Genomic DNA, 25723 nt, shown 5'->3' on the forward strand with positions numbered 1-25723 from the left:
GTTTGGCTTTCTCGAGCATTTTATTGCATTGATTGTGCGTTCTCGATTTTACAGAGGTTCGTTTTGAGTAATGGCTTCAGTAATGTCATCGTATACGCATTTCAAAGTTTGTTTATGGAATTGTTTTTACATTTATTCTCTTTTTACTTATAATTTTTGAATCAGATTTTGTGTTTTGGAGAGATTTTCCGTACGTGGTGGAAGTGTTTTCACTCATGGTAAATATGGATTGTTTGGCAATTTTATCACGTTAATCACAAAACAATACCAGGAACATTTAAATGTCTTAAAGGATTTCACTCTACATGACTTGTGCCAGAGACGACACACGTACCAAAACGCGATTACCTGTCTTAACTTTTTTTCTATTGGAATTTTCTGGAAGGAATTCCATGCAATCCGAAAGGATTAATGGAGGGTACAGTAATTGCTTTCTACATCGCTTTTGTTAAGCAGTGAAAATTAAACTTGGAGATTTATACCTGGATATACTGAGTTTTTTTTAACACTCTTTTGAAGTGAAATTTTGGAAAGGGCAGGTGAAATGAGGCTTCTTCCAACCTCCCCACTCTCCCCCCTCAGCTTTAGTTAAAAGGCAAACACCAAAATATTGTAGTACCTGGTAATTTACAGAACGTTCGTTATCAGATTTGATAATTATATATTAAGGTTGTAAAGAATGTGTATGCCAGAATTATAGGTAGTAGATCCTAGATTCTTAGGAAAAATAGTTTCTTTATAATCTTTTGAGTAGTGAAATGGTTACTTTTACAATGGTTATGAACTGGGTCAAGGCAAAAGGGCCACTATATGTCTTCAGTCATCTTTCTATGCCTGAAATCCAGGAAACAGTGAAAATGGATGTTCCCTGGAACAGCCATTGCGATGCCATATGTTGGTCATTGGTGTCCTTAAAGTGTATCTCAGATAATTGTGTGTCTCCCTTACTTGTGAACTGAGGGGTCACAATATTGATGTGCCTGATGTGTGCCCCTCTGCATTTCGTGGGTAGTGTCTCAAATTTGGCTATCATATTGATGAGAGTTACTAATTTGGTTTTAGCTGCCAGAGGTTTAGGTGGTTTTCACTTCCAGTGACTTACCTGATTGCACATAGTTACAACGTTACTGGTTGCACTCCTTCATTGCTAGCATCTTTTTTCTAGTATATTCGATATACATTCTTTTGGTTTATCCTTTAAAATATTTGCTGAGATAGCATTTAAATGTTAATGCTGTATTTATATTTGTTGGATGCTTAATTCAATGTGTCTTCTTTCCCTTTCCATGAATGAAAAGAAATTGGAAGAAGAGAATCAACTATTTCGTGCAAGTATTTTGTTCAGTTTAGAAGATGTTATGGTATTGTGAAAACAATATTCTGGAGTTAGACATGGAATCACAATGGCCTTCCAAGTCAGAACAGTCTGGGTTGAAATTGACTCCTTACTGGTCCAAAGCCACATAACTGATTCATCATGCAGCCTTTTTTTAAAAAAAGTTTTTTTTTAAAGCTACTCAAATATGTCAGTTTTATTTTCTCTGTACACACATTTGTTACTGAAAATTGCAAAAACAGCACATTGAAGGTCCTCTTATTGGAGTTCACATTTTTGAAAACCAGAAAATTTAATAATTATGCTCTTGCCAAACTACCCACTGTTTTCTTTATATTCTTGCCCCACAAGTTGCTTTACTTGAACTCTTGGGTTGGGCTTCATCTCACTGACTTCAGGCTTCTAACACACATAGGACACTTAGGACCTACTGGCTCTTTGGGTCACATCAGGGAGGAGAGCTGAAGTATGTTGAAGTTACTCAAATACATTCAAGCTACATAGATCTCTGATAAATTATTGGTGGTATGGTAGAAATGAAAATATACCCAAAAAAATCACAGAACTGTTTATTAAAATTATTGGTATACAGGCTCTTCTAACATAGATTAGCTTTCTCAACCTAATACATAAAATTACCAGCAAGAAAAAAAAAGTACAAGAATGACAGTTTATGGTTGAATTGGCTTGGTGTCATGATTCCCTGTTGTAGCATTCTCAGGCTATCTATGATAACAGAAACTGCAGCCACATTTGAATGGTTCCCTTCTTGATTCATTCTGAACTCTCCCTTTGGCCCAGTGTCTACTAGTTTTTCAAGCCAAGAACATCTGTTGAGTAACAGGTATCTCAATTTTGCCATACTTCCTTTCTGCATAGGTAGCAGCGTTCTTACTTCTACTCCTGAGGCAAGCCATCTCTGATGTCCTGGAAGGTCGTTTCTCTTCTATCCAGTTGTTGGGATGAATCTTCTGGTAGAAGGGAAGGGAATTTGGTACTAGGGTTGAAAGTCACGCTACTGAAGTTCTTTATTGACATCTCTGAGCAGAAGAGAGGCCCGAGTCGTCCTGGGGATTTTCTTCACTGAGCATTTGTGAAGATTCTGGGGTCAAGGTTGGGTTAAACTTTTGTGGTGGGTCCATCCGCGGTCTAGTCAACAGTACTAAGCTCTTCCTGCATCTTTGGGACCCAGCGGGAAGTGATGCCAGCTCTCAAATTGCTACAAGGTATCCTGGAAAGAAATCTATGACCCAGAAAGAGCCTGAAAACCCAAACTCCAGCAAATATTGGTGAAAGAGCCAACCCGCAAAGCCTTTTAAAACCTTGAATTCCTTACCTATAAACTGGGATAAAACCTATGGTGTAAGTCTGTTCTGAGAATTACATGAAATGGATTTATAGAGTTCTCAGTACAGTTCCTGAAATACAGCAGCTGACGCCAGTAGATGTTGATTTCCTTCTCCTTTCTACTTTTGAACTTAGCTGTAGTTATTAGCATTTTTTTAATGTTGAGGTAAACAGTTTCCTTAGTTGTGCATCAGTATTCAGTCCAATTTAATGTTAAATTATGTTTTTACTGGGAGCCTGTTCATGACCTTAAAATTGCCGTAAACCCTTTATAGAACAAGTCGTGTTTGGCTAAATATATAAACACAGATGTATCCTTACAGACTTTATAGTCTGATAGAGGAGATACACATGCATATAATGAGGGAATTCTGTGCTGAAGGTATCTGGGAAGAGAAGGTGATTCCATAGATTATCAGAATGGGAGAAGAAAGACATCTGGATGGAGGGGAAAGCAGGAACAGAGGCATGAGAGGAGTTAAAGAGGCCATCGGGGATTTCAATCCCAGCCAAAAGTTAGCCCCTTGTTACCTGTCTCCTCTCCTCTCCTCTCTTCTCCTTCCTTCCCTCCTTCCTTCCTTCTTTCCTTCCTTCCTTCCTTCCTCCCTCTTTTTCTACCTATCTACCTAGCTACTATTTTCTATCTATCCTCCTTTGTGAGTGTGTTTATGTATAGCAGGGGACGAGAACACCTACCTCATCAGGGGTGAGCTTAAATGAAGTAAAATGTTTCATAGGCTCCTGGTGTACAGTAAATGCCCAGTTGATATTGATGATGATGTCACCACTGCCTACACCACCTGTAGTTTCTTTCCTATGGCTGATCTGTCTAGGGATGAATTTGGGGGCCACCTTTTAAATTCTGCATGTAACATTAAGGTGGTTGGTGTTGAATTTGTAGGCAGAGGGAAACCATTGAAAGCAGGGGCAGGATTGGACCTGTGTTTTAGAACAGTATGAAAGGTGAGTTGGAGGAACCTGCCCATGTAGGATCTTTAATCTCCAGAGTCTAGCCTGTTAGAGAAGCTGGTGAAGTCATTTAAGGCATGGGGTATTGGTCTGAACTCAGAATATTTAATGTTATGTTAAATGTGCTTTTTTTTTTTTTTTTCCTGAAGGGAGGGGAGGAGGAAGAATTTACTCAATGTAAATATTATTTTATCCAAATGGTGAGAGAATACATGAAAAGACTAGTAAGGCATCTTTTTACCATTTGAGATGTTATAGTAGCGTGTTAACAAAATAGGCAATTTTTTTTTTAAAACTAGGTTATATTTCTTTGTAGTTGTTTATGCTTGGGCCTGTCTGCAAATGATTTAACAAATCATATCATATATTTGAATTACTGTTGCTTAACCTGACACAGGCAATAAGGAGAGAAAAGAATGTCCTTTTTCTTGCTTTTGGGTTTTTTTTTTTTTTTTTTTTTTTTTTTTGAGACGGAGTCTCCCTCTGTCACCAGGCTGGAGTGCAGTGGCGCAGTCTCAGCTGACTGCACCCTCCACCTCCCGGGAGTCAAGCGATTCTCCTGCCTCAGCCTCCCGAATAGCTGGGTCTACAGGCATGTGCCACCACACCTAGCTAATTTTTGTATTTTTAGTAGAGACGGGGGTTTCATCATGTTGGCCAGGATGGTCTCGATCTCTTGACATTGTGATCTGCCCGCCTCGGCCTCCCAGAGTGTTGGGATTACAGGCGTCAGCCATCTCTCCAGAGCTGATTTTTTTTGGAGGGAGGGGTTTGAATTACTTTTTTCTTTCTCTCTTTAGCATCATTGTAGACCCATGGATTTTTATGTATCCAATGTGTGTTTTTGGTTTTTTAAATTTTGAGACAGTCTTGCTCTGTCACCCAGGCTGGAGTGCAGTGGTGTGACCTTGGCTTACTACAACCTCCGCCTCCCGGGTTCAAGCTATTCTCCTGGCTCAGCCTCCCAAGCAGCTGGGATTACAGGCGTGCACCACCATGCCTGGCAAATTTTTTGTATTTTTAGTAGAGATGGGGTTTTACCTTGTTGGTCCAGCTGGTCTCAAACTCCCAAGCTCAAGTGATCCTCTCACCTCAGCCTCCCAAAGTGCTGGGATTACAGGTGTGAGCCACCATGTGTGGCTTTATCCAGTGTTTTAATCAAATACTCACTGTTTTTCCTTAGCTTTTCACAACTTGGACATGTTGAGGTCCTTTCAACCTGGTTCTCTTTCCTTTGACATGACACGTAATCTCTGAAGCTTTTCTTGCTTTCTGACACAAGATGTCTAAGGTTCACTTTGTGCTTTTCCTGCCAAATACCTATCAACCGAGTCTTTCAGCTTGCTTTATTGAGGATTAGAATTTAGATACAGAAATCTGGGTGTTATATGTTCTTACTGTTAGAATGCCCATGCTTTTATTGGACAGCCATGGGAAGCATACAGATTTTGATTTTTATATTGGTATTTCCAGTTCGAATTTAACATCACAGAGTTTTTACTATGAGCTTATCCTTTTTTCTCTAACGTTGAAAATTTACATTCTTAGCAACATTAATATAATTGCATTATCTTACAGTATAAATGTAGTTTGAAAATAACACTAATAAGCAACTGTAGCTTTATGTTTGGTTATGGTTTTTTCCTTAAAATATATCCACATAAGCATGTACAGTTGACATTCTAATTTGGAAGGCCATTTGAAAAGATTTTCTCTGATTATGTTATATGTTTGATAATTAATTTGGGTTGTTTGCCTGAAATTCTTCCTTTAAGAATTGCTTTAGTTTTTTATTTAATGTATTTTTTTTTTTTTTTTTTTGAGACAGAGTCTCGCTCTGTCGCCCAGGCTGGAGTCCAGTGGTGCGATCTCGGCTCACTGCAAGCTCCGCCTCCCGGGTTCACGCCATTCTCCTGCCTCAGCCTCCTGAGTAGCTGGGACTACAGGTGCCCGCCACCACGCCCGGCTAATTTTTGTATTTTTAGTAGAGACGGGGTTTCACTATGTTAGCCAAGATGGTCTCGATCTCCTGACCTCGTGATCTGTCCGCCTCGGCCTGCCAAAGTGCTGGGATTACAGGCGTGAGCCACCGCGCCTGGCCTATTTAATGTATTTTTTAACATGTAGAACATTTATGTGAACATTTATGTAGTTAAAAAATCTGATCTGTGTTAAAAAGTTATGTTCACAGCTTCACTTTAATTCTGTTCCTCCACGAATTTCTCTCTTGCCCCAGTTGTTTTTGCTTTGTTTTTCTGATATTTCATTTTTGCAAATGTAAGCATATGTGTATATTTTTGTTTCCCTTTCCTACACAATAGGCAGCGTTCTATGCACACTGCTCTGCCGTTCTATGCACACTGCTCCCTTTTACTTAATTTATTCTGGAGAGCGCTTCATTGAAGTGCGTGCTTGCAACTCATCTCCTAATGATGAACATTTGGGTTGTTTATATTCTCTTGGCTGTTATAAATATTGCGGCAATGAATAACCTTGTGGGTATATTGTTTTTTATTTGTGCAGATACAGCTTTAAGATAGATGTGGGGTGAAAGGTAAACACATTTGTAGTTTTGTTAGTGTCAAAATGTTACATTTTCTTTTTAAAACTTTTTAATTTTTTGTAGAGATGAGGTCTCACAGTGTTGCCCAGGATGATCTTGAACTCCTGACCCCAAGCAGTTCTTTTACCTGGGCTTCCCAAAAAACTTGGGATTACAGGCGTCAGGCATCAATACAGCCTAAAAAAATTACATTTTCAGGCTCAGTGTGATGGCTCACACCTGTAATCCCAGCACTTTGGGAGGCTGAGGTGGGCCGATCATGAGGTCAGGAGTTCAAGAACAGCCTGACCAACGTGGTGAAACCCCATCTCTGCTAAAAATACAAAAATTAGCCTGGCGTGGTGGCGCGTGCCTGTAATCCCAGCTACTCGGGAGGCTGAGGCAAGAGAATCACTTGAACCTGGGAGGCAGAGACTGCAGTGAGCTGAGATTGCGCCACTGCACTCCAGCCTGGGTGACAGAGGGAGACTCCGTCTCAAAAACAACAGCAACAACAACAAAAAAACCCGTCTCTACTAAGAATACAAAAATTGGCCAGGCATGGTGGCCTGCGCCTGTAATCCCAGCTACTCCTCATGAGAGTCACTTGAACTTGGGAGGTGGAGGTTGCAGTGAGCTGAGATCGCGCCATTGCACTTCAGCCTGGGTGACAGAGTGAGACTCCATCTCAAAAAAAAAAAAATTACATTTTTAAAAGGCAGATCTGACCATGTCAGCTTTTTACTTAAAACTCTAAATGGTGGCCAGGTGGGTGCGGTGGCTCACACCTGTACTGTACTCCCAGCACTTTGGGAGGCTGAGGTGGGCGGATTACCTGAAGCTGGGAGTTTGAGGCCAGCCTGGCCAACATGGTGAAACCCCGTCTCTACTAAAAATACAAAAATTAGCCAGGTGTGGTGGCGCATGCCTGTAATCCCAGCTACTCAGGAGGCTGAGGCAGGAGAATTGCTTGAACCTGGGAGGCGGAGGCTGCAGTGAGCTGAGATCACACCCCTGCACTCCAGACTGGGCAACAGAGTGAGACTCCGTCTCAGAAAACAAAACAGAAAAACTCTAAATGGCTTTCCAGTGCCTTAAGGACAAAAGTTTATAATGTAGCCTCAAGGGTACACATATAGTTGGTGTACATATAGCTTTACATCCCTTAACAATGGGATACATTCAGAGAACCTCGTTGTGTACCTCATAGAGTATACTTACACAAACCTATATGGGACAACCTACTAGGCACCTAGGCTATGTAATATGGCTTAATGCTCCTAGGCTACAAACCTGTACAGCATATGACTGAACTGAATACTGTAGACTATTGGAACACAGTGCTGTGTAGGTATTTATTTATCTAAACATATCTAAGGACAGAGAAAGTACAGTAGAAATGTGGTATAAAAGAGAAATGGCATGCCTGTGTAGGGCACTGAACCATGAATGGAGCTGTCAGGACTGGAAGTTGCTCTGGGTTGAGTCTGTGAGTGAGTGGTGAGTGAATGTGAAGGCCTAGAACATTACTGTACACTACCGTAGACTGTATGTAAACACTACAGTTAGGCTACACTAAATTTATAAAAAGTTTCTTCAGTAATTTACCTTAGCTTACTGTAATTTTTTTAACTTAATAAGCTTTTTAACTTTTTTTTAAACTTTCTGTCTTTTTAAATAACACGTAGCTTAAAACAGCCTCATAATATGGATCCACTGTAGTATATGTGGTCTGTTGTGTTGACAGAAATGTCATTAGGTGGTGCATGACTAATTACTTTTGGGCCTCAGCCTCATCTTGTACTGTTTTTCCCCTTGCTTTCCTTTGCTCCAGTTGTGTGGGGCCTCCTTCATTCTCCTGTGCTCACCATATTCTCCACCAGGAATCTTGGCACTTGTTCTTTTCCTCTGCCTGGAATGCCTTTCTTTGTTAACAGTTATTCCTGGTCTTTAGAGTTTGGCTCAAGCATCACTTTTAATGAAATTTTCTGTGTGCGTGCTTGCACATTTTCATAAGATAAAGAGATTGGACTGTACTGATATTCATCACCGACTCCAACAAGCATCAGTTGTCTGAAGTGTTTTTTTTTTTTTCCCCAGTCTTGCTCTGTCTCCCAGGCTGGAGTGCAGTGGTGCGGTCTCAGCTCACTGCAGTCTCCACTTCCCAGGTTCTAGCAATTCTCACTCCTCAGTCTCCCAAGTAGCTGGGAGTACAGGTGCGTGCCACCATGCCTGGCTAATTTTTTTGTATTTTTAGTAGAGACAGGGTTTCACCTTGTTGGCCAGACTGGTCGCCATCTCCTGACCTCAAGTGATCTGCCCTCCTCTGCCTCCCAAAGTGCTGAGATTACAGGTGTGAGCCACCGTGCCCAGCCTGAAGTTGTTTTTTTGAGACGAGGTCTCACTCCAGTTGCCTAGGCTGTAGTGCAGTGGCACAGTTTTGGCTCATTGCAGCCTCGACCTTCCCGGACTCAGGTGATCTTCCCATCTCAGCCTCCCGCGTAGCTGAGACTACAGGCATGTGCCACCATGCCTGGCTAGTTTATTTTTGTATTTTTAGTAGAGACGGGATTTTGCCTTGTTGCCCAGGCTGGTCTCGAGCTCCTGAACTCAAGCAGTGTACCTGCCTCAGCCTCCCAAAGTGCTGCCTCAGCCTCCCACCTGTGCCACTGCACTACAGGCATGAGTCACCGTGCCTGGCTGTCTGAAGTTCTTGAATTTTTTTGACTTTTCTGCAGTCAAGTCCTCTTGGTGCTTATCAGAATTACAATGTTATATTAGTTTATGTGATTTAATTAATTTTAGTTTTCCCACAAAGGCTGAGTTTCATGAAAGCAGAACCATTCCTGTTTTTGCCTGTAATTACTTTTCTGGTATCTAGCTCAGTGTCTGAATTGTGAGGGCTCAAGCTACCCTGTGCAGTAGCGAGAATTAAATAATAAGAAAATTGAGGGTGTCTGGTTGGTTAAATGTCTTGTCTGCACAGGTGTTTGTCATACAGTGATTATTAAGTAACAATTTGTTGACTTTTATTTATTTATTTTGAGACAGAGTTTCGCTCTTGTTGCCCAGGCTGGAGTGCAATGGCGCGATGTTGGCTCATCGCAACCTCCGCCTCGTGGGATCAAGCAATTCTCCTGCCTCAGCCTCCTGAGTAGCTGGGATTACAGGCATGCACCACCACACCCAGCTAATTTTGTATTTTCAGTAGAAACGGGTTTCTCCATGTTGGTCAGGCTGGTCTTGAACTCCCCACCTCAGGTCATCCGCCTGCCTTGGCCTCCCTGGGATTACAGGCGTGAGCCACCGTGCCCGGCCTTGTTGACTTTTAATTGTAATATTTTTTTCAGGATCACATAAGGTTTAGAAAAATGAAACCCCTAGGATGGATAAAGGAAAACGTATATGGGATATGTGTGTGTATGTATTAAGGCATTTGTTACAGTGATTTGAGTTCACACAGTGTAGGAGGAGCTGGCTTAAGCAGTTTTTTTTTTTTTTGAGATGGAGTCTTGCTCTATTGCCCAGGCTGGAGTGCAGTGGCACAATCTTGGCTCACTGCAACCTCCGCCTCCTGGGTTCAAGCGATTCTCCTGCCTCAGCCTCCCGAGTAGCTGGGACTACAGGCGTGCGCCACCATGCCTGGCTAGTTTTTTTGTATTTTTAGTGGAGACGGGGTTTCACCATGTTGGCCAGGCTGGTCTTGAACTCCTGACCTCGTGATCCACCCGCCTCGGCCTCCCAAAGTGCTGGGATTACAGGCGTGAGCCACCGTGCCCAGCCGTTAAGCGGTTTCTGTCAGGCTGTTGTCTTTGTGATTGATGCTGGAGTTTGAAGTCCACAGGGCAGTCATTTGAGAAAGGAAGATGGATGTAAAGTGGGGAAGAAGAGGACACAGGAAGCCACAGGCAAGGTACATGGAAACCATGCTAGTTCTAGTTGCCTTTGTTCCTGCTTGTGTGGGTGGCCTGTAAGAGTTGGATCCTTGGCAAATGTAGCCCAGGAGGCAGAGAAGCTTAAGGAGAGCCCAGAGGAAGGTGGAGTGGATGCAGCTGCAATTCTAGGCCAACCACTGCCTCACACGAATGGGGTGAGTCAGAAGATGAGCAGCAACAGTGTGTGCAAGCTGCAGGGTGGTTGCTTTATCTTCTGCACCCTTCAGTTGCTGCACAAAAATCTCTTGTGAGCCATGCAAGTTGGAAACATAAAGGAAAGGAAATTCTGGGGAATGTAGTTCAGCTCAGCCAAGTTCAAACCATACAAAGCAGAATGATCAGCTCAGGCTTTTAAATTTTTAGCTCAGGCTACACGTAAGGGACCCGAAGGTTTCTGTGACTGCTCTAAAAATGCAAATGTAATTCCTAATTTGTGGGTGAGATCATTGATTGGTAGGAATGGAATCCTGAAAATTGGATTGGAGGCATATGGTCAGATTCTGTTTAAGCTGGAGTCCTTAAATCCTTAAATGCTGCTCTGCTGCCTTTCCCGGAGAAGCAGCCTTTCCAACCCTTCCCAGAGGAACTTAATCTCCGTTTGCCTGAAAAACCTGTAATTGGCCTCCCTTTGGGTAGTTGCCCAGCACGGTACTGTCTTCCTCAGAATCTGCCCTGTAATCCTTCTTTCTTGTAGATCTGTGGCTGGACTGTAGTTGCAGCAGGCCCCAGAGAGTGAGGTGACCCATGAGAAAGGTATGCTGCACTCTAAAAGATTGTATAGTTTTGCCACTGTATAGTCAGGAGCCTGGAGGAGTATTTGATTTGTGGCAATGGATCTTAGGGGTATAGTATAACAGTGGAAGGAACATAAAGTTGAATCAGGCAGAATTTATTGATGTGGGCTCACTAAGCAGAGATTCTGGGTTCAGTGTTATAGTTCAAGGAGATAGAAAGGACTCTTAACAGTTGGGTTAATTGACTGAGGCCCATCCACAAGGCCTGATGCCTCGGTTAGATTTTTTCTGGCCTAACAAGGAACTCCACTGACCATTCACTCACCTTCTATGAGAGTCTATATTTGGCCTGGCGTGATGGCTAATACCTGTAATCCCAGCACTTTGGGAGGCCAAGGCAGGAGGATCACCTGAGGTAAGGAGTTTGAGACCAGCCTGGCCAACATGGCGATACCTCATCTCTACTAAAAATACAAAAATTAAGCGGATATCATGGCCCATGCCTTAATCCCAGCTACTCGGCAGGCTGAGGCAGGAGAATCGCTTGAGCCCAGGAGGCAGAGGTTGCAGTGAGCCAAGATCATGCCACTGCACTCTAGCTGGGGTGACAGAGCGAGACTCCGCCTCAAAAAAAAAAAAAAAAAAATTAGCCGGGTGTGGTGGCTTGTGCCTGTAGTTTTAGTTACTCGGGAGGCTGAGGTGGGAGGATCAGTTGAGCTGGGGAAGTCGAGGCTGCGGTGAGCCATGATCGTGCAACTGCGCTCCAGCCTGGGCAACAGAGTGAGATTCTAATAAAATATTAGTTCATAAGGAAAGGTTCACCTAAATGCATAGCCCTTAAATAACTTGCATTGTTGGTGGAACTGTACTTTGCTAGGACCTTTTTGGAGGATGGCTGCACTAAAACAGAATTTAAAATGCATGTGCTCTGTTGATCCAGCAGTTTCACTGCTAGGATTTTATTGTATAGATGAATTTGGACAGTATACAAATACGTTATGTTTAAGGTTTTTCATTATATCAGTGTTTGTGATCGAGAAAAATTAGAAACAACTGTCCAATAATGGAGTTAAGGTAGAGTAAATGACCATTATACCCATACACTGGAATATTGTGCCACTGTTAATAATAAGAGGTTGATAGGAAAAAAAATTCATACAGCCATCCCTCCATATCAGGGAATTGGTTCCAGGACCCACACTCCGCCTGCCTCCCCGCCTGCACCCCACCCCATGGATACCAAAATCCATGGATGCTCAAGTTTCTTATATAAAATGGTGTAGTATTTGCATATAATCTATGCATATCTTTCTGTATACTTTAATCTCTAAATTACTCCTAGTATGTAATACAGTGTAAATGCTATACAAATAGTTATACTGTATTGTTGAGGGAATAACTACAAGGAAAAAACTTTATGTGTTTGGTACAGATGAAACCATCATTTCCCAAATGTTGAAAATCTGAGGTTAGTTGAATCCACAGATGTGGAGCTGAAGGGATAAGAGGCCAAGGGCCAACTATATTACACAAAAAATGTAACATTTAATAAGAGAAGCAAGTTGTGGAACTGTATGTTCTTGCTTATGTTGAGATGTTATGTGTCTGTTTTAAGCCTTTGCCTAAAAATACTTTGCTAAATTCCTAACAATCTTTTCCTTTTATTAATACATAATATTTTACATCTTTATGGGATGCATATGAATACTTGTTGCATGCATAGAATGTATAATGATCAAGTCAGGGTACCTGGAGCATCCATCACCTTGAGTATTTTATCTTTTTGTTTTTGAGATGGAGTCTCGCTCTGTTGCTCAGGCTGGAGTGCGGCGGTGCGATCTTGGCTTGCTGGAACCTCTTGCCTCCTGGGTTCAAGCAATTCTCCCGCCTCAGCCTCCTGAGTAAGCTGGGATTACAGGTGTGTGCCACCATGCTGGGCTAATTTTTGTAATTTTAGTAGAGACAGGGTTTCACCATGTTGGCCATTCTGGTCTGGGTCCCCTGACCTCAGGTGATCCGCCTGCCTCAGCCTCCCAAAGTGCTGGGATTGCAGGTGTGAACTACTGCGCCTCGTTGAGTATTTGTCATTGCTGTGTGCTGGTAACATTTCAAGCCTTCTCTTTTAGCTACTTTGAGATATACAGTATATATTTGCTAACTATGGTGACCCTACTCTGCTAGAGAACATTAGAACTTTCTAACTGTATGTTTGTACCCATTAACCAACCTCTCTTCCTCACCCTTCCCAGCCTCTGATACCTGTTATTGTATTTTCTATTTCCATGAGGTCAACTTTTTTTTTTTTTTTTTATAGCTCCCATGTATTTGTTAGAACATGTGTTATTTGTCCTTCTATGCCTGGCATGGCTTATTTCACTTAACATAATGACCTCCAGCTTCACCCATGTTGCTGCAAACATTTTATTCTTCTTTCTGGCTGAATAGCATTCCATTGTGTATACATGCCACGTTTTCTTTATCTCTCTGCTCATTGATGGATACTTAGGTTGATTCTATATCTTTGCTTTTGTAAATAGTGCTGTGGTAAACAGGTGAGTGTATGTATCCCTTTGATAATACTGAATTCTTTTCCTTTGGATAAATAGCCAGTAGTGGGATTGCTGAAGTATGTAGTAGTTCTATTTTTAGTGTTTTGAGAAATCTCCGTACTGTTTTTCATAATGGCTTTACTAATTTCCATCCCAGTGTATAAGAGTTCCCTTTTCTCCGCATCCTTGCCATCTTCTGTTGTTTGTGTTTTTAATAATAGTTATCCTAACTGTGGTAAGGTGCTATCTCATTGTAGTTTTGATTTGTATTTACCTGATGATTACTGATGTGAGCATTTTTTCATATATCATTTGGCCATTTGTATGTTTTTTGATGTCCTTTGCCCACTTTTTAGTGGGATTATTATTATTATTTTTTAATTGTTGGTTATTTGAGCTTGTTGCATATTCTGGATTTTAGTCCTTTGTCATGAATGGTTTGCACATATCATTTCCCATTCAACAGGTTGTCTCTTCACTCTGTCATTTGTTTCCTTTGCTGTGCAGAAACTTTTCAGCTTGTTCTGTTGGTTATTGAAAGAGATGTATTAATACTTTGATTTTGCATTTGTCAGTTTTTCCTTAGTTCCGATACCTTTTGCTTTATACATTATCTTATGAGGGTGTGTTCTTAGATGCATTGGTATTTAGAGCTATGTATCAACCAGGTCTTTTAAAATCACTGTAATCCCAGCAGTTTGGGAGGCTTGAGGTGGGAGGATCACTTGAGTCTAGAGTTTGAGACCAGCCTGGGCAACATAGCAAGACCCCATCTCTACAGAAAATTTAAAAAAATTAGCTGTGTGTGGTGGCACACACCTGTAGTCCCAGCTACTCGGGAGGGTAATGTGGGTGGATCACCTGAGCCTGAGAGGTGAAGGCTGCACTCAGGAACCCTGATCATACCGCTGCACTTAGCCTGGGTGACAGAGTAAGATCCTGTCTTCAAAGCGGGGGAAAAAAAAGAAAACCACTATTAAGTGTTCTTTTTAAGGGGCCAGTATTATTAGAGGTAAAGTTTATTTAGCTTGATATTAATGTTGCTGCAGTGTTTTCCTTTGGTTAGTATGTGTAGGGTATATCCTTTTTTACCCTTTAATTTCAGTCTTACTTATTTTTCCAGCATGTGTTGCTTAATGATGAGAATATGTTCTGAGAACTGCGTTGTTAGGTGAGCATTATAGAGCATACTTGCACAAAACTTAGATGGTGTAGCCTTTGACACACTTAGGCTAAATGGTAAGCCTATTTGCTCCTAGGCTGCAAACCTGTATAGTATGTGACTGAACTGAATACTGTAGACAGTTGGAACACAATGGTAAGTAATTATGTATGTAAACACAGAGAAAGTACAGTGAAAACCTGGTATAAAAGATACAGAAATGGTCCACCTGTATTAGGGCACTTACCATGAATGGAGCTTGCAGGATTGGAAGTTGCTCTGGGTGAGTGAGTGGTGAGTGAATGTGAAGGCCTAGGACATTATTGTGCACTATTGTAGACTGTGTATAAACACTGTACAGTTAGGCTACACTAAATTTATAGAAAAATTTTTCTTCAATAATAACTTAACCTTAGCTTACTCTCCCCTAACCCCCAATTCTTCAATCCAGTCTTGGCTGCTACAGTCAGACAGCGAAGACACTTTTTTCTTGCATCTGTATTAGAAACCGTGTAGCTTTTTTACTTTATGAAGTTCATAATTTTTAAATTTCTTGACTCTTATAGTACTTAGCTTAAAACACAAACACATTGTACAGATGTATAGAAATACTTTCTTCCTGTTATTTTGTAAGCCTTTTCTATTTTAAAAATTTATTACTTTTGTTTTTACTTTTTAAACTTTTTGTTAAAAACTAAGATACTTGGCCAGGCGCAGTGGTTCATGCCTGTAATCCCAGCATTTTGAGAGGCCGAGGCAGGCAGATCACCTGAGGTCAGGAGTTCAAGACCATCCTGGCCAACATGGTGAAACCCTGTCTCTACTAAAAATACAAAAAGTAGCCGGGCGTAGTGGCAGGCGCCTGTAATCCCAGCTACTCGGGAGGCTGAGGCAGGAGAATCGCTTGAACCCAGGAGGCAGAGGTTGCAGTGAGCCGAGATCGTGCCATTGCACTCCAGCCTGGGGGCAAGAGTGAGATTTCGTCTCAAAAAAAAAAAAAACAAAAAAAAAAAAACTAAGATACTCAGGATCATCTGTATCACTGTCTTCCACCTCGGCATCTTGTCCAGGTGAAAGGTCTTCAGGTGCAATAACACATATGGAGTTGTCATCTATGATAACAGTACTTTCTTCTGGAGTACCTCCTGAAGGACCTGCCTGAGGCTGTTTTACAGTTAACTTTTTTTATAAATAAGTATGAGTACAGACTAAAATAATGATTAAACATAGTTAATACATAAACCAGTAACATAGTTGTTTATTATCAAGTACAATGTACTGTACGTAATTGTACTATACTTTTTTTTGTTTGTTTTTTGAGACAGGGTCTCGCTCTGTCTCCCAGGCTGGAGTGCAGTGGCAGGATCTCGGCTCACTGCAACCTCCACCTCCCGGGTTCAAGCGATTCTCCTGCCTCAGCCTCCCGAGTAGCTGGGATTACTGGCATGCGCCACCATGCCCGGCTAATTCTTGTATTTTTAGTAGAGACGGGGTTTCACCATGTTGGTCAGGCTGGTCCAGTACTCCTGACCTCGTGATCCGCCCACCTCGCCCTCCCAAAGTGCTGGGATTACAGTCGTGAGCCACAGTGCCTGGCCTGTACTATCCTTTTTTTTTTTTTTTTTTTTCCCTGAGACAGAGTTTCGCTCTCGTTACCCAGGCTGGAGTGCAGTGGCGCGACCTCATCTCACTGCAGCCTCCGCCTCCCGGGTTCAAGTGATTCTTCTGCCTCAGCCTCCTGAGTAGCTGGGATTACAAGTGTGAGCCACTGCCCAGCCTGTACTATACTTTTGTATGACTTTGAACACAGTAGTTTTGTTTGCAGTGCAGTGGGTTTGTTTACACCAGCATCACCACAAAGACGGCTATGAAATCACTAGACAATAGGAATTTTTTAGCTCCATTATAATTTTTTTTGTTTGTTTTTGAGACAGGGTCTCGCTCTGGCCAAGGCTGGAGTGCAGTGGTGCCATCTTGGCTCACTGCAACCTCTGCCTCCTGGGTTCAAGTGATCCTCACACAATCTCCCTAGTAATTGTGACTACAGGCGCATGCCACCGTGCCTGGCTTGTGTGTCTGTGTGTGTGTGTGTGTGTGTGTGTGTGTGTGTGTGTACGTGTACGTGTAGAGATAGGGTTTTGCCGCTTGCCTAGTCTGGTCTCCAACCCTTGGACTCAAGTAATCTGCCCACCTTGGCCTCCCAGAGTGCTGGGGTTACAGATGTGAGCCACTGTGCCTGGCTCTATTATAATATTATGGGACTACCATTGTATATGTGATCCATTATTGACTGAAATGTCTCTGTGTGGGGCATGACTGTACTTAAGTTTTGAAAGATTTTCTTGCCAACAGTATATACTAGAATTTTTTTTTTTTTTTTGAGTTGGAGTCTCGCTCTGTCACCCAGGCTGAGTTGCCGTGGCGCAGACTCGGTTCACTGCAAGCTCCGCCTCCCAGGTTCACACCATTCTCCTGCCTCAGCCTCCCCAGTAGCTGGGACTACAGGCGCCTGCCAACCACCCTCAGCTAATTTTTTTGTATTTTTAGTAGAGACAGGGTTTCACCGTGTTAGCCAGCATGGTCTCCATCTTCTGACCTTGTAATCCATCCACCTCGGCTTCCCAAAGTGCTGGGATTACAGGCTTGAGCCACTGTGCCCAGCCAGTATATACTAGAATTTTAAAAAATCTTGTGTGTTTCTTATGATTAGAGCATCTGTCTATTGGCATTTGACAAAGTAACTGACGTTTAGTTTCAATCTGTTAATAAGTACTTTCTGCCTATCAAACCTGTTTTTTACCTTTTCCTGTCCTTTCTTGCCTTCTTTTAGATGCTTATTTTTTATGTTTGTTCTGCTGTTCTAACTTGGAAGTTACTTAAACATGAATCTTTTACTATCAAAATCTAATATTATTTGATACTTTCCTCCTCTCCTGGATACTCTGTTGAGCTCATTTTTATTCACATTGTCATTATTGCATTGTTTTAATTCTGTCTGTATTTTATCTTGACAGGTTTAATTTGTATTTTCAATAGCCATTTAGATTTACCCACAAAATTTATCCTTTTCATTTCCTAACTAGATCCTCCATCTTGTAACATTTTCTTCTGCCCGAAGAACACCCTTTATGCTTCCCACCTTTTGTGTAACTTCTAGTAGTGAATTTCCTATGTTAGTCTAGACATGCCTCAAATTGATCTTCCTTTAAAAAAAAAAAAAAAAAAAAAAGATGGAGTCTCACTCTGTTGCCCAGGCTTGAGTGCAGTGGCGTGATCTTGGCTCACTGCAACCCCTGCCTCCCAGTTCAAGCCATTCTCCTGCCTCAGCCTCCCGAATAGCTGGGACTACATACAGGTGTGCGCCACCATGCTTGGCTAATTTTTTTTGTTATTTTCAGTAGAGACAGGGTTTTGCCATATTGCCCAGGCTGGTCTTGAACTGCTGATCCCTAGTGATCCATCTGCTTGGCCTCCCAAAGTCCTGGGATTACAGGTGTGAGCCACCGGCCTCATCTTCCTTTTTGAAGGATACTTCTGATGTGTACAGAATTCTAAGTTGTCAGTTTTCTTCTAAGGTGTTAAAATAAGCTATTGAATTGTGGTCAGGAGCAGTGGCTCACATCTGTAATCCCAGCACTTTGGGAGGCCAAGGCAAGAGGATTACTTGAGCTCAAGAGTTCGAGACCAGCCTGGGCAACATAGTGAGACCTCATCTCTAATTTTTTTTTAAATTAAAAAAAAGCTATTGAATTGTATCTTCAGTTTTCATTTTTTTTTTTTGTAAGAAGTAAACTGTCAAGTTTTAAAAATCACTCCTATGACTGGAATCTCTCTCTCTTTTTTTTTTTTTGAGACAGAGTCTTGCTCTGTCACCCAGGCTGGAGTGCAGTTGTATGATCTCGACTCACTGCACCCTCCACCTCCCAGGCTCAAATGATCCTCCTACCTCAGCCTCTTGAGCAGTTGAGACCACAGGCCTGAGCCACCCCATGCTTGGCTATTTTTTGTGGTTTTTGTACAGACAGATAGGGTTTCGCCATGTTGTCCAGGCTGGTCTTGAACTCCTGGGCTCAAGGGATCTGCCTGCCTCAGTCTCTCAAAGTGCTGGGATTACAGGTGCAAGCCACTGTGCCCAGCCTGGAATCTCTTGGTACTGCAGGCTTTATGTTTTTTTTTTCTGCCTTTAGTTTTCAACAGTTTTACTGTGATGTGTTTGGTTATATATTTCTTTATTCATCCTGCTTGGAATTCTTAGGTTTTATTGAACCCATGGTGGGATGTCTTTCATTAGTTTCGAAAAGTTGACAGGCAATTTCTGCTATCCCCCCTTTACCCCCTCCCCCCACCTTCTGAGAGCCCATTTAAGCACTTCAGATCTTCTCAGTCCCTTACCCTTGTCATGCTTCATCCTGGATATTTTTGTTTTGGTTTTTCTTTTCCTTTTTTTCTTTTTTTTTTTTTTTTTTTGAGACGGAGTGTTGCTCTGTCACCCAGGCTGCAGTGCAGTGGTGCTATCTTGGCTAACTGCAACCTCCGCCTCCTGGGTTTAAGCAGTTCTCTGCCACAACCTGCCAAGTAGCTGGGACTACAGGTGCCCGCCACCAGGCCTCATTCATTTTTGTATTTTTAGGAGAGACAGGGTTTCACCATGTTGGGCAGGCTGGTCTTGAACTCCTGACCTTATGATCCACCCGCTTTGGCCTCCCAAAGGGCTGGGATTACAGGTGTGAGCCACCATGCCTGGCCCTTTTTTTTTTTTTTTTTGAGACAGTTTCACTCTTTTTGCTCAGGCTGGAGTGCAATGGCGCGATCTCGGCTCACTGCAACCTCTGCCTCCCGGGTTCAAGCGATTCTCCTGCCTCAGCCTCCCAAGTAGCTGGGATTACAGGCACCTGCCACCATGCCTGGCTAATTTTTAGTAGAGACGGGGTTTCACCATGTTGGCCAGGGTGGTCTCGATCTCGACCTCGTGATCCGCCCGCCTGGGCCTCCCAAAGTGTTGGGATTACAGGCGTGAGCCACAGCGCCCGGCCCTTTTGTGTTTGTGTGTGTTTGTGTGTGTGTGTGTGTGTGTGTGTGTGTTTGAGATGAATTTTTGCTCTTGTTGCCCAGGCTGGAGTGCAATGGCGTGATCTCGGCTCATCGCAACCTCCACCTCCTGGGTTCAAGAGATTCTCTTGACTTAGCCTCGGGAGTAGCTGGGATTACAGGCATGCGCCACCATGCCCGGCTAATTTTGTATTTTTAGTAGAGATGGGGTTTTTTCATGTTGATCAGGCTGGTCTCGAACTCCTGACCTCAGGTGATCTGCCCGCCTCGGCCTCCCAAAGTGCTGGGATTACAGGCGTGAGCCACTGTGCCCGGCCTGCTTTTCTTTTTTCTTGTTTTTTTTTCTGCTGGTTTTTATTCATTTTGTCTCCTTGTTGGCTCTGTGTGTGTGTATACACACGTGCACATCTAGTAGATCACATTATAAATATCGTTTGAATAATTTCGGGTCTAGGATGATATATCCAGAGAGGATTTATGCTTATTTCTATCTCAGGCATCTTAGGGAATAGGCAGTCTGGGAACACCGTGGTTCAGTTTTAGGGATAAAGATGAGTTGAAATTGAGCTACACGACGGCCAGGTGCGGTGGCTCATTCCTGTAATCCCAGCACTTTGGGAGGCCGAGGCGGGCGGATCACGAGGTCAGGAGATGAAGACTGTCCTGGCTAACATGGTGAAACCCTGTCTCTACTAAAATACAAAAAAAAAATTAGCTGGGCATGGTGGCGGGCACCTGTAGTCCCAGCTACTCAGGAGGCTGAGGCAGGAGAATGGTGTGAACCCAGGAGGCGGAGCTTGCAGTGAGCTGAGATCGCGCCACTGCACTCCAGCCTGGGCAACAGATCGAGACTCCGTCTCAAAAAAAAAAAAAAAGAAATTGAGCTACATGTCTTAGAGCCTGGCAGCTTCCCTTTTCCCTCCTTCTTAAGTTCAGCAATTCAGGATTCCAACTCGAAGGGAGGTGAGTTTACCAGTCCCCCTGTAACCCCCTTTGGTATTTTCCGAATTTTAGTTCTTTTCTCCTAATCTTACCAAGCTGTCAAGTTCTCAGCTGGTCCTTAACACTTGGCAATTGCTCTCAGGGACCAAAGTGGTTATAAATGTAGGGTGTCCCTCTTTAGATCCTGTCTCTCTGATACCTTACTATCTTTCAAGTTATTTGATGCTTTCATGCATATATTTAGTGTGTGTGTGTGTGTGTGTGTGTGTGCAACTTTTTTTTTTTTTAAAGACATTTATTCAGCATCATGATCAGACTATTACATTTAGCAATCAACAGCATGGGTGCAAAAAAAATCTACATTAAAACCTTTTGTTGGAATGCTTTAAACAAAAGAACAGAAACTAAAATAACCTGTTATACAATTAGTCACAAATACAGTCCTCGAGTTTTTTGCCCATATACATGAGTATTTGTCTAAAACATGTCTTCTTTGTAGCATCTAGGCCCTGCCACCACTGTGCTTGGCTGAATTCACAAATCTGTTTTAACCTGTAGCTTCTCTGTCACTTCTCTGGTTCTCCTCTCCTGCTAAGCTTTGTTACCTAATTAAAATCTTCTGCTACTGCCATAGCTACTGCTGCTACTGGAACCACCATAGTAGCCACCGTGGTTTCATGGTTTGGCATAGTATTGGCCTCCACCACCATAGGGGCCAGAGCTTCTGCCTCCAAAGTTTCCTTCCTTCGTGGGTCCAAAATTTGAAGACTGATTGTTGTAATTGCCAAAATCATTGTAGCTTCCACCACCTCCAAAATTGCTTCCACCATTACCAAATCCATTATAGCCATCCCCACTGCCACCAAAGCCACCATGACCACTGAAGTTTCCTCCACTACCAGAGTTGTCATTCCCACTGAAACCACCTCCACGACCACCACGTTTCCAGAATCACTTAGCTTCTTTGGCTGGATGAAGCACTAGCCATCTCTTGCTTTGACAGGGCTTTCCTAACTTCACAATTGTTGCCATTCACAGTATGATATTTCTGAATGACAGTCTTATCCACGGAGTTGTGGTCGTCAAAGGTTACAAAGGCAAAGCCCCTTTTCTTGCCACTGCCTCGGTCAGTCATGATTTCAATCACTTCAGTTTTTCAGAACTGTTTAAAATAATCTCTTAGGTGATGTTCTTTAGTGTCTTCTTTAATGCCACCAACAAATATCTTTTTCACAGTTAAGTGGGCACCTGGTCTTTAAGAATCTTCTGTTGAGACAGCTCTCTTTGGTTCCACAAGTCTTCTGTTCACCTTGTGTGGCCTTGCATTCATGGCTGCATCCTCCACCTCCACAGTGGCATATGTGACAAACTCAAAGCCCCTGGAGCACTTGGTGTTTGGATCTCTCATTACCACACAGTCCGTGAGTGTCCCCCATTGCTCAAAATGGCTCCTCAGGCTCTCATCGGTTGTTTCAAAGCTCAACCCTCCAATGAAGAGCTTCCTCAGCTGTTCGGGCTCTTTAGGAGACTTGTGACTTAGACATGATGGCATGGAGAAGAGAGACTTTAATGATGCTTCAGCGTCATCCATGGGCAGAAAGCTTTTTTTTTGGAGACAGAATCTCACTTTGTCACCCAGGCTAGAGTGCAGTGGCATGATCTTGGCTTACTATAGCCTTGGCCTCCTGGGCTCAAGCTGTCCTTCTGTGTCAGCCTCCCTAGTAGCCGGGACTACAGGTATGCATCGGCATGCCTGACTAATTTTTTAAATTTTTAGTAGAGATGAGATCACCCTGTGTTGCTCAGGCTGGTCTTGAACGCCTGGGCTCAAGCAATCCTCCCTCCCTTGCCTTCCAAAGTGCTGGGATTACAGGTGTGAACCACTGTGCCTGGCCTATTTTCAACTTTTTCTTATGGTAGTTTTCAGTTATATACAGAAGTCAAGAAAATAGTTCAGAACAACCCCGTTTGAGGCCGGGTGCGGTGGCTCATGCCTGTAATCAGCACTATGGGAGGCCGAGACGGGCAGATCACGAGGTCAGGAGATCGAGACCATCCTGGCTAGTGCGGTGAAACCCCGTCTCTACTAAAAATACAAAAAAAAAAAAAAATAGCTGGGCCTTGTGGTGGGCGCCTGTAGTCCCAGCTACTCGGGAGGCTGAGGCAGGAGAATGGCGTGAACCCAGGAGGCGGAGCTTGCAGTGAGCCGAGATCATGCCACTGCACTCCAGCCTGGGTGACTGAGCGAGACTGCATCTCAAAAAAAAACAAAAACCTTTTGTTTCCTTAACACAATTCCAGTAGTCGTTGATAGAGCTTCCTTGCTTCTGATATGACAAGATATTCCAAGCTCCTCTAATATCCTTCTCCTTATCTGGAGTTGGTTATTTCTCTAAGCAACTCTGGTTTCTGATAGTTTTTACTAGGGATATCCTTGTAAATTTTACTTTAATTTTGTAGCTGTTGGGAGGATTGTTTAAATTACCAGTCCATTGTTCCCAAGAGTTGGCCATTTATATTGATCCTTGCGGGTGGCCTTCAGAAACCCATCAAAGACCCAGAGAGACTGCTTGTTGTCCATAGGTTTGGGCAGAGGGGGTTGTGCCATGGACCGTTTGCCAGTTTTATGAAACCTATGGATGCCTTTTCAGAATCTTCTGAACACAGTGAATGAAATACATAGGATCACAACAGAAACCAATTATATTTAAGTTATACAAATATTACTACCCTGTTAAACAGAAGACCATGGTGTCTTTCTTTGTCAGTAATTTTTTTTTTTTTAGACAGTCTCACTCAGTCACCCAGGCTAGAGTGCAGATGGCGCGGTCTCAGCTCACTGCAACTTCCACCTCCCGGGTTCAAGTGATTCTCCCACTTCAGCCTCCCTAGTAGCTGGGACTACAGGCGCATGCCACCACACCCGGGTAATTTTTGTATTTTTAGTAGAGACAGGGTTTCACTATGTTGGCCAGGCTGGTCTCGAACTCCTAACCTCGTGATCCGCCCACCTTGGCCTCCCAAAGTGCTGGGATTACAGGCGTGAGCCACCGCGCCTGGCCTCTTTGTCAGTAATTTAAGTGACAAGACAATATTGTTGGTATATAGATAATTCAGATTTTGTTTTTTAAGATATTAAAATTAAGTTTTTTTTTTTTTTTTTTTGAGATGGAGTTTTGCTCTGTTGCTCAGGCTAGAGTGCAGTAGTGCGATCTTGGCTCACTGCAGCCTCTGCCTCCCAGGTTCGAGTGATTCTCCTGCCTCAGCCTCCTGAGTAGCTCGCACTACAGGTGCGTGCCACCACATCTGGCTAATTTTTGTAGAGATGGGATTTCACCATGTTGGCCAGGCTGGTCTCAAACTCCTGACATCAGGTGATCTGCCTGCCTTGGCCTCCTAAAGTGTTGGCCTCCTAAAGTGTTGGGATTACAGGTGTGAGCCACTTCCCTGGCCAAGGTGTTTTTGTTCTGTTTTTTTTATTTTTAAGGCAGTCTCCCTGTATCGCCCAGGCTGGAGTGCAGTGGTGCGATTTTGGCTTACTGCAACCTCAGCCTCCCAGGTTCAAGTGATTCTTCTACCTCAGCCTCCTGAGTAGCTGGGACTACAGGTGCGCACCACCACACCTGGCTAATTTTTTTTAGTAGAGACAGGGTTTCACCATTTTGGCCAGGCTGGTCTCAGACTCCTGACCTCAAGCAATCAGCCTGCCTTGGCCTCCTAACATGTTGGCCTCCCAAGGTCTCACACTCTACAGGTGTGAGCCACTGTGCCGGGCCAAAATTAAGGTTTTGATGTTTAATAAAAATCAATTGTGGGGTGGTCTTTGGCTTACCTCCTTTTATATATTCATCAACAAATAATTGTTGATGGGGAACTTTAGTGAGCATTGTGGATGTATGATTTCGATACAGTTCGACTTAGATCAAAGTTAATAGGTTTTCACAAGACTGCCCTCACTTTGGATACCAGCTGCAAACTTCGGGGGCTCCCATGTTACTTTTATTTCTGACCAAGTACAAATGTGGAGGTTTCCATCACACTCAAGTTTGATAATTCAGTTAGGATGACTCACAAAACTCAAGAAAGTCCAGTACTTATAGTTTATTATAGCAAAAAAAAAAAAATACAAATTAGGACCAACCATAAGAAGTGACATATAGGGCAGTGTCTGGGAAGGTCTCAGATATGAAGTGTTCATGCCCTCCTGTGGAGACAGGGTATTAACCGGGAAAGCTCATGTGAGCCTCTGTGTCCAGAGTTTTTATTGGTGCTTAACTACATCAGCATGATCCATTGAATCATTGGCCTTGAGCTTGAACTCAATTTCTTGCTCCCCTCTCTGAACTTTGGGCTGTTATCCTGGGGCTCAGAGCCCCAACCTTCTAATGCCATGGTTGGTCTTTCTGGTTTGGCCAGCCCCCCACCTCCACATCCTGAGATCTTGTTAACATAAACTAGGTGCTCACCATGAATCACAGAGATGCCCTGTCCCTCTCAGGACATTTCAGGGATTTAAAGGGCACCAACTGGAGCTGGGACAAAGGCCATCCAGTCTCTCTGTTATACCACAGTCAGCAATTCTGTTTTCAGTTTGATGCCTAAGGACCAGGCCTAGTGATATCACGTGGCTGACCTGAGCTGTGCCTGAGCGCCTGCATGAGAAGACTATGTGCTCTATCCTGGTGGCAAATCTAGTCAAGTGTCAGCTGATGAGTTTAAGTGGTATTTTGAGCTACAACAAATGCAATGGGATGGAAATATATGTGATTTCTATTGTTGAGAAGTTGGAAGTACTACTACTAATACTGTGGTTTGTTGCACGCATTCATGATAGAAGGAAGTGCTGTACTTCAGGTAGAGGTTAGGAAAGATGAAGATAAAATTTTTTCTCCTGTCCAAATCCATGGTCCTTATAAATTTTGACCACGTATTACACTTGTATTAAAACTTGGTGTTTTGATATTTAGTGGTTTAGGGTGTTTAATAATTTTTTTTGTTTTTTGAGATGGAGTCTCGCTGTGTCACCCATGGTGGAGTGCAGTGGCATGATCTCGGCTCACTGCAACCTCCACCTCCTGGGTTCAAGCAGTTTTCCTGCCTTAGCCTCCCGAGTAGCTGAGACTAAAGGTGCATGCCACCACGCCTGGCTAATTTTTTT

General features: G+C 43.0%; 1 protein-coding gene and 1 pseudogene across 1 annotated transcript in view, besides 3 other annotated features; one reads left to right on the forward strand and one right to left on the reverse strand.

Moving 5' to 3' along the window:
• The window catches only part of SPIN1 (spindlin 1), a 90251-nt gene that overhangs the window by 911 nt on the left and 63617 nt on the right, over positions 1-25723 (forward strand). The gene's annotated exons all lie outside the window — the stretch shown is intronic.
• Positions 6043-6543: an enhancer, noted in NCBI's record as "H3K4me1 hESC enhancer chr9:91010312-91010812 (GRCh37/hg19 assembly coordinates)". NCBI's record gives its function as "activates a minimal SCP1, AML or CMV promoter by ChIP-STARR-seq in naive H9 embryonic stem cells {active_cell/tissue: H9 hESC(naive)}" and the evidence as "EXISTENCE:reporter gene assay evidence [ECO:0000049][PMID:30033119]".
• Positions 6544-7044: an enhancer, noted in NCBI's record as "H3K4me1 hESC enhancer chr9:91010813-91011313 (GRCh37/hg19 assembly coordinates)". NCBI's record gives its function as "activates a minimal SCP1, AML or CMV promoter by ChIP-STARR-seq in naive and primed H9 embryonic stem cells {active_cell/tissue: H9 hESC(naive and primed)}" and the evidence as "EXISTENCE:reporter gene assay evidence [ECO:0000049][PMID:30033119]".
• Positions 6688-6912: a silencer, noted in NCBI's record as "fragment chr9:91010957-91011181 (GRCh37/hg19 assembly coordinates)". NCBI's record gives its function as "represses an EF-1alpha promoter that drives an FKBP-Casp9 reporter gene in an ReSE screen in K562 erythroleukemia cells {active_cell/tissue: K562}" and the evidence as "EXISTENCE:reporter gene assay evidence [ECO:0000049][PMID:32094911]".
• HNRNPA1P14 (heterogeneous nuclear ribonucleoprotein A1 pseudogene 14) lies at positions 20978-22166 on the reverse strand (annotated as a pseudogene).

Source organism: Homo sapiens, chromosome 9 (assembly GCF_000001405.40).
Source record: "Homo sapiens chromosome 9, GRCh38.p14 Primary Assembly".
NCBI classification, from domain to species: domain Eukaryota; kingdom Metazoa; phylum Chordata; class Mammalia; order Primates; family Hominidae; genus Homo; species Homo sapiens.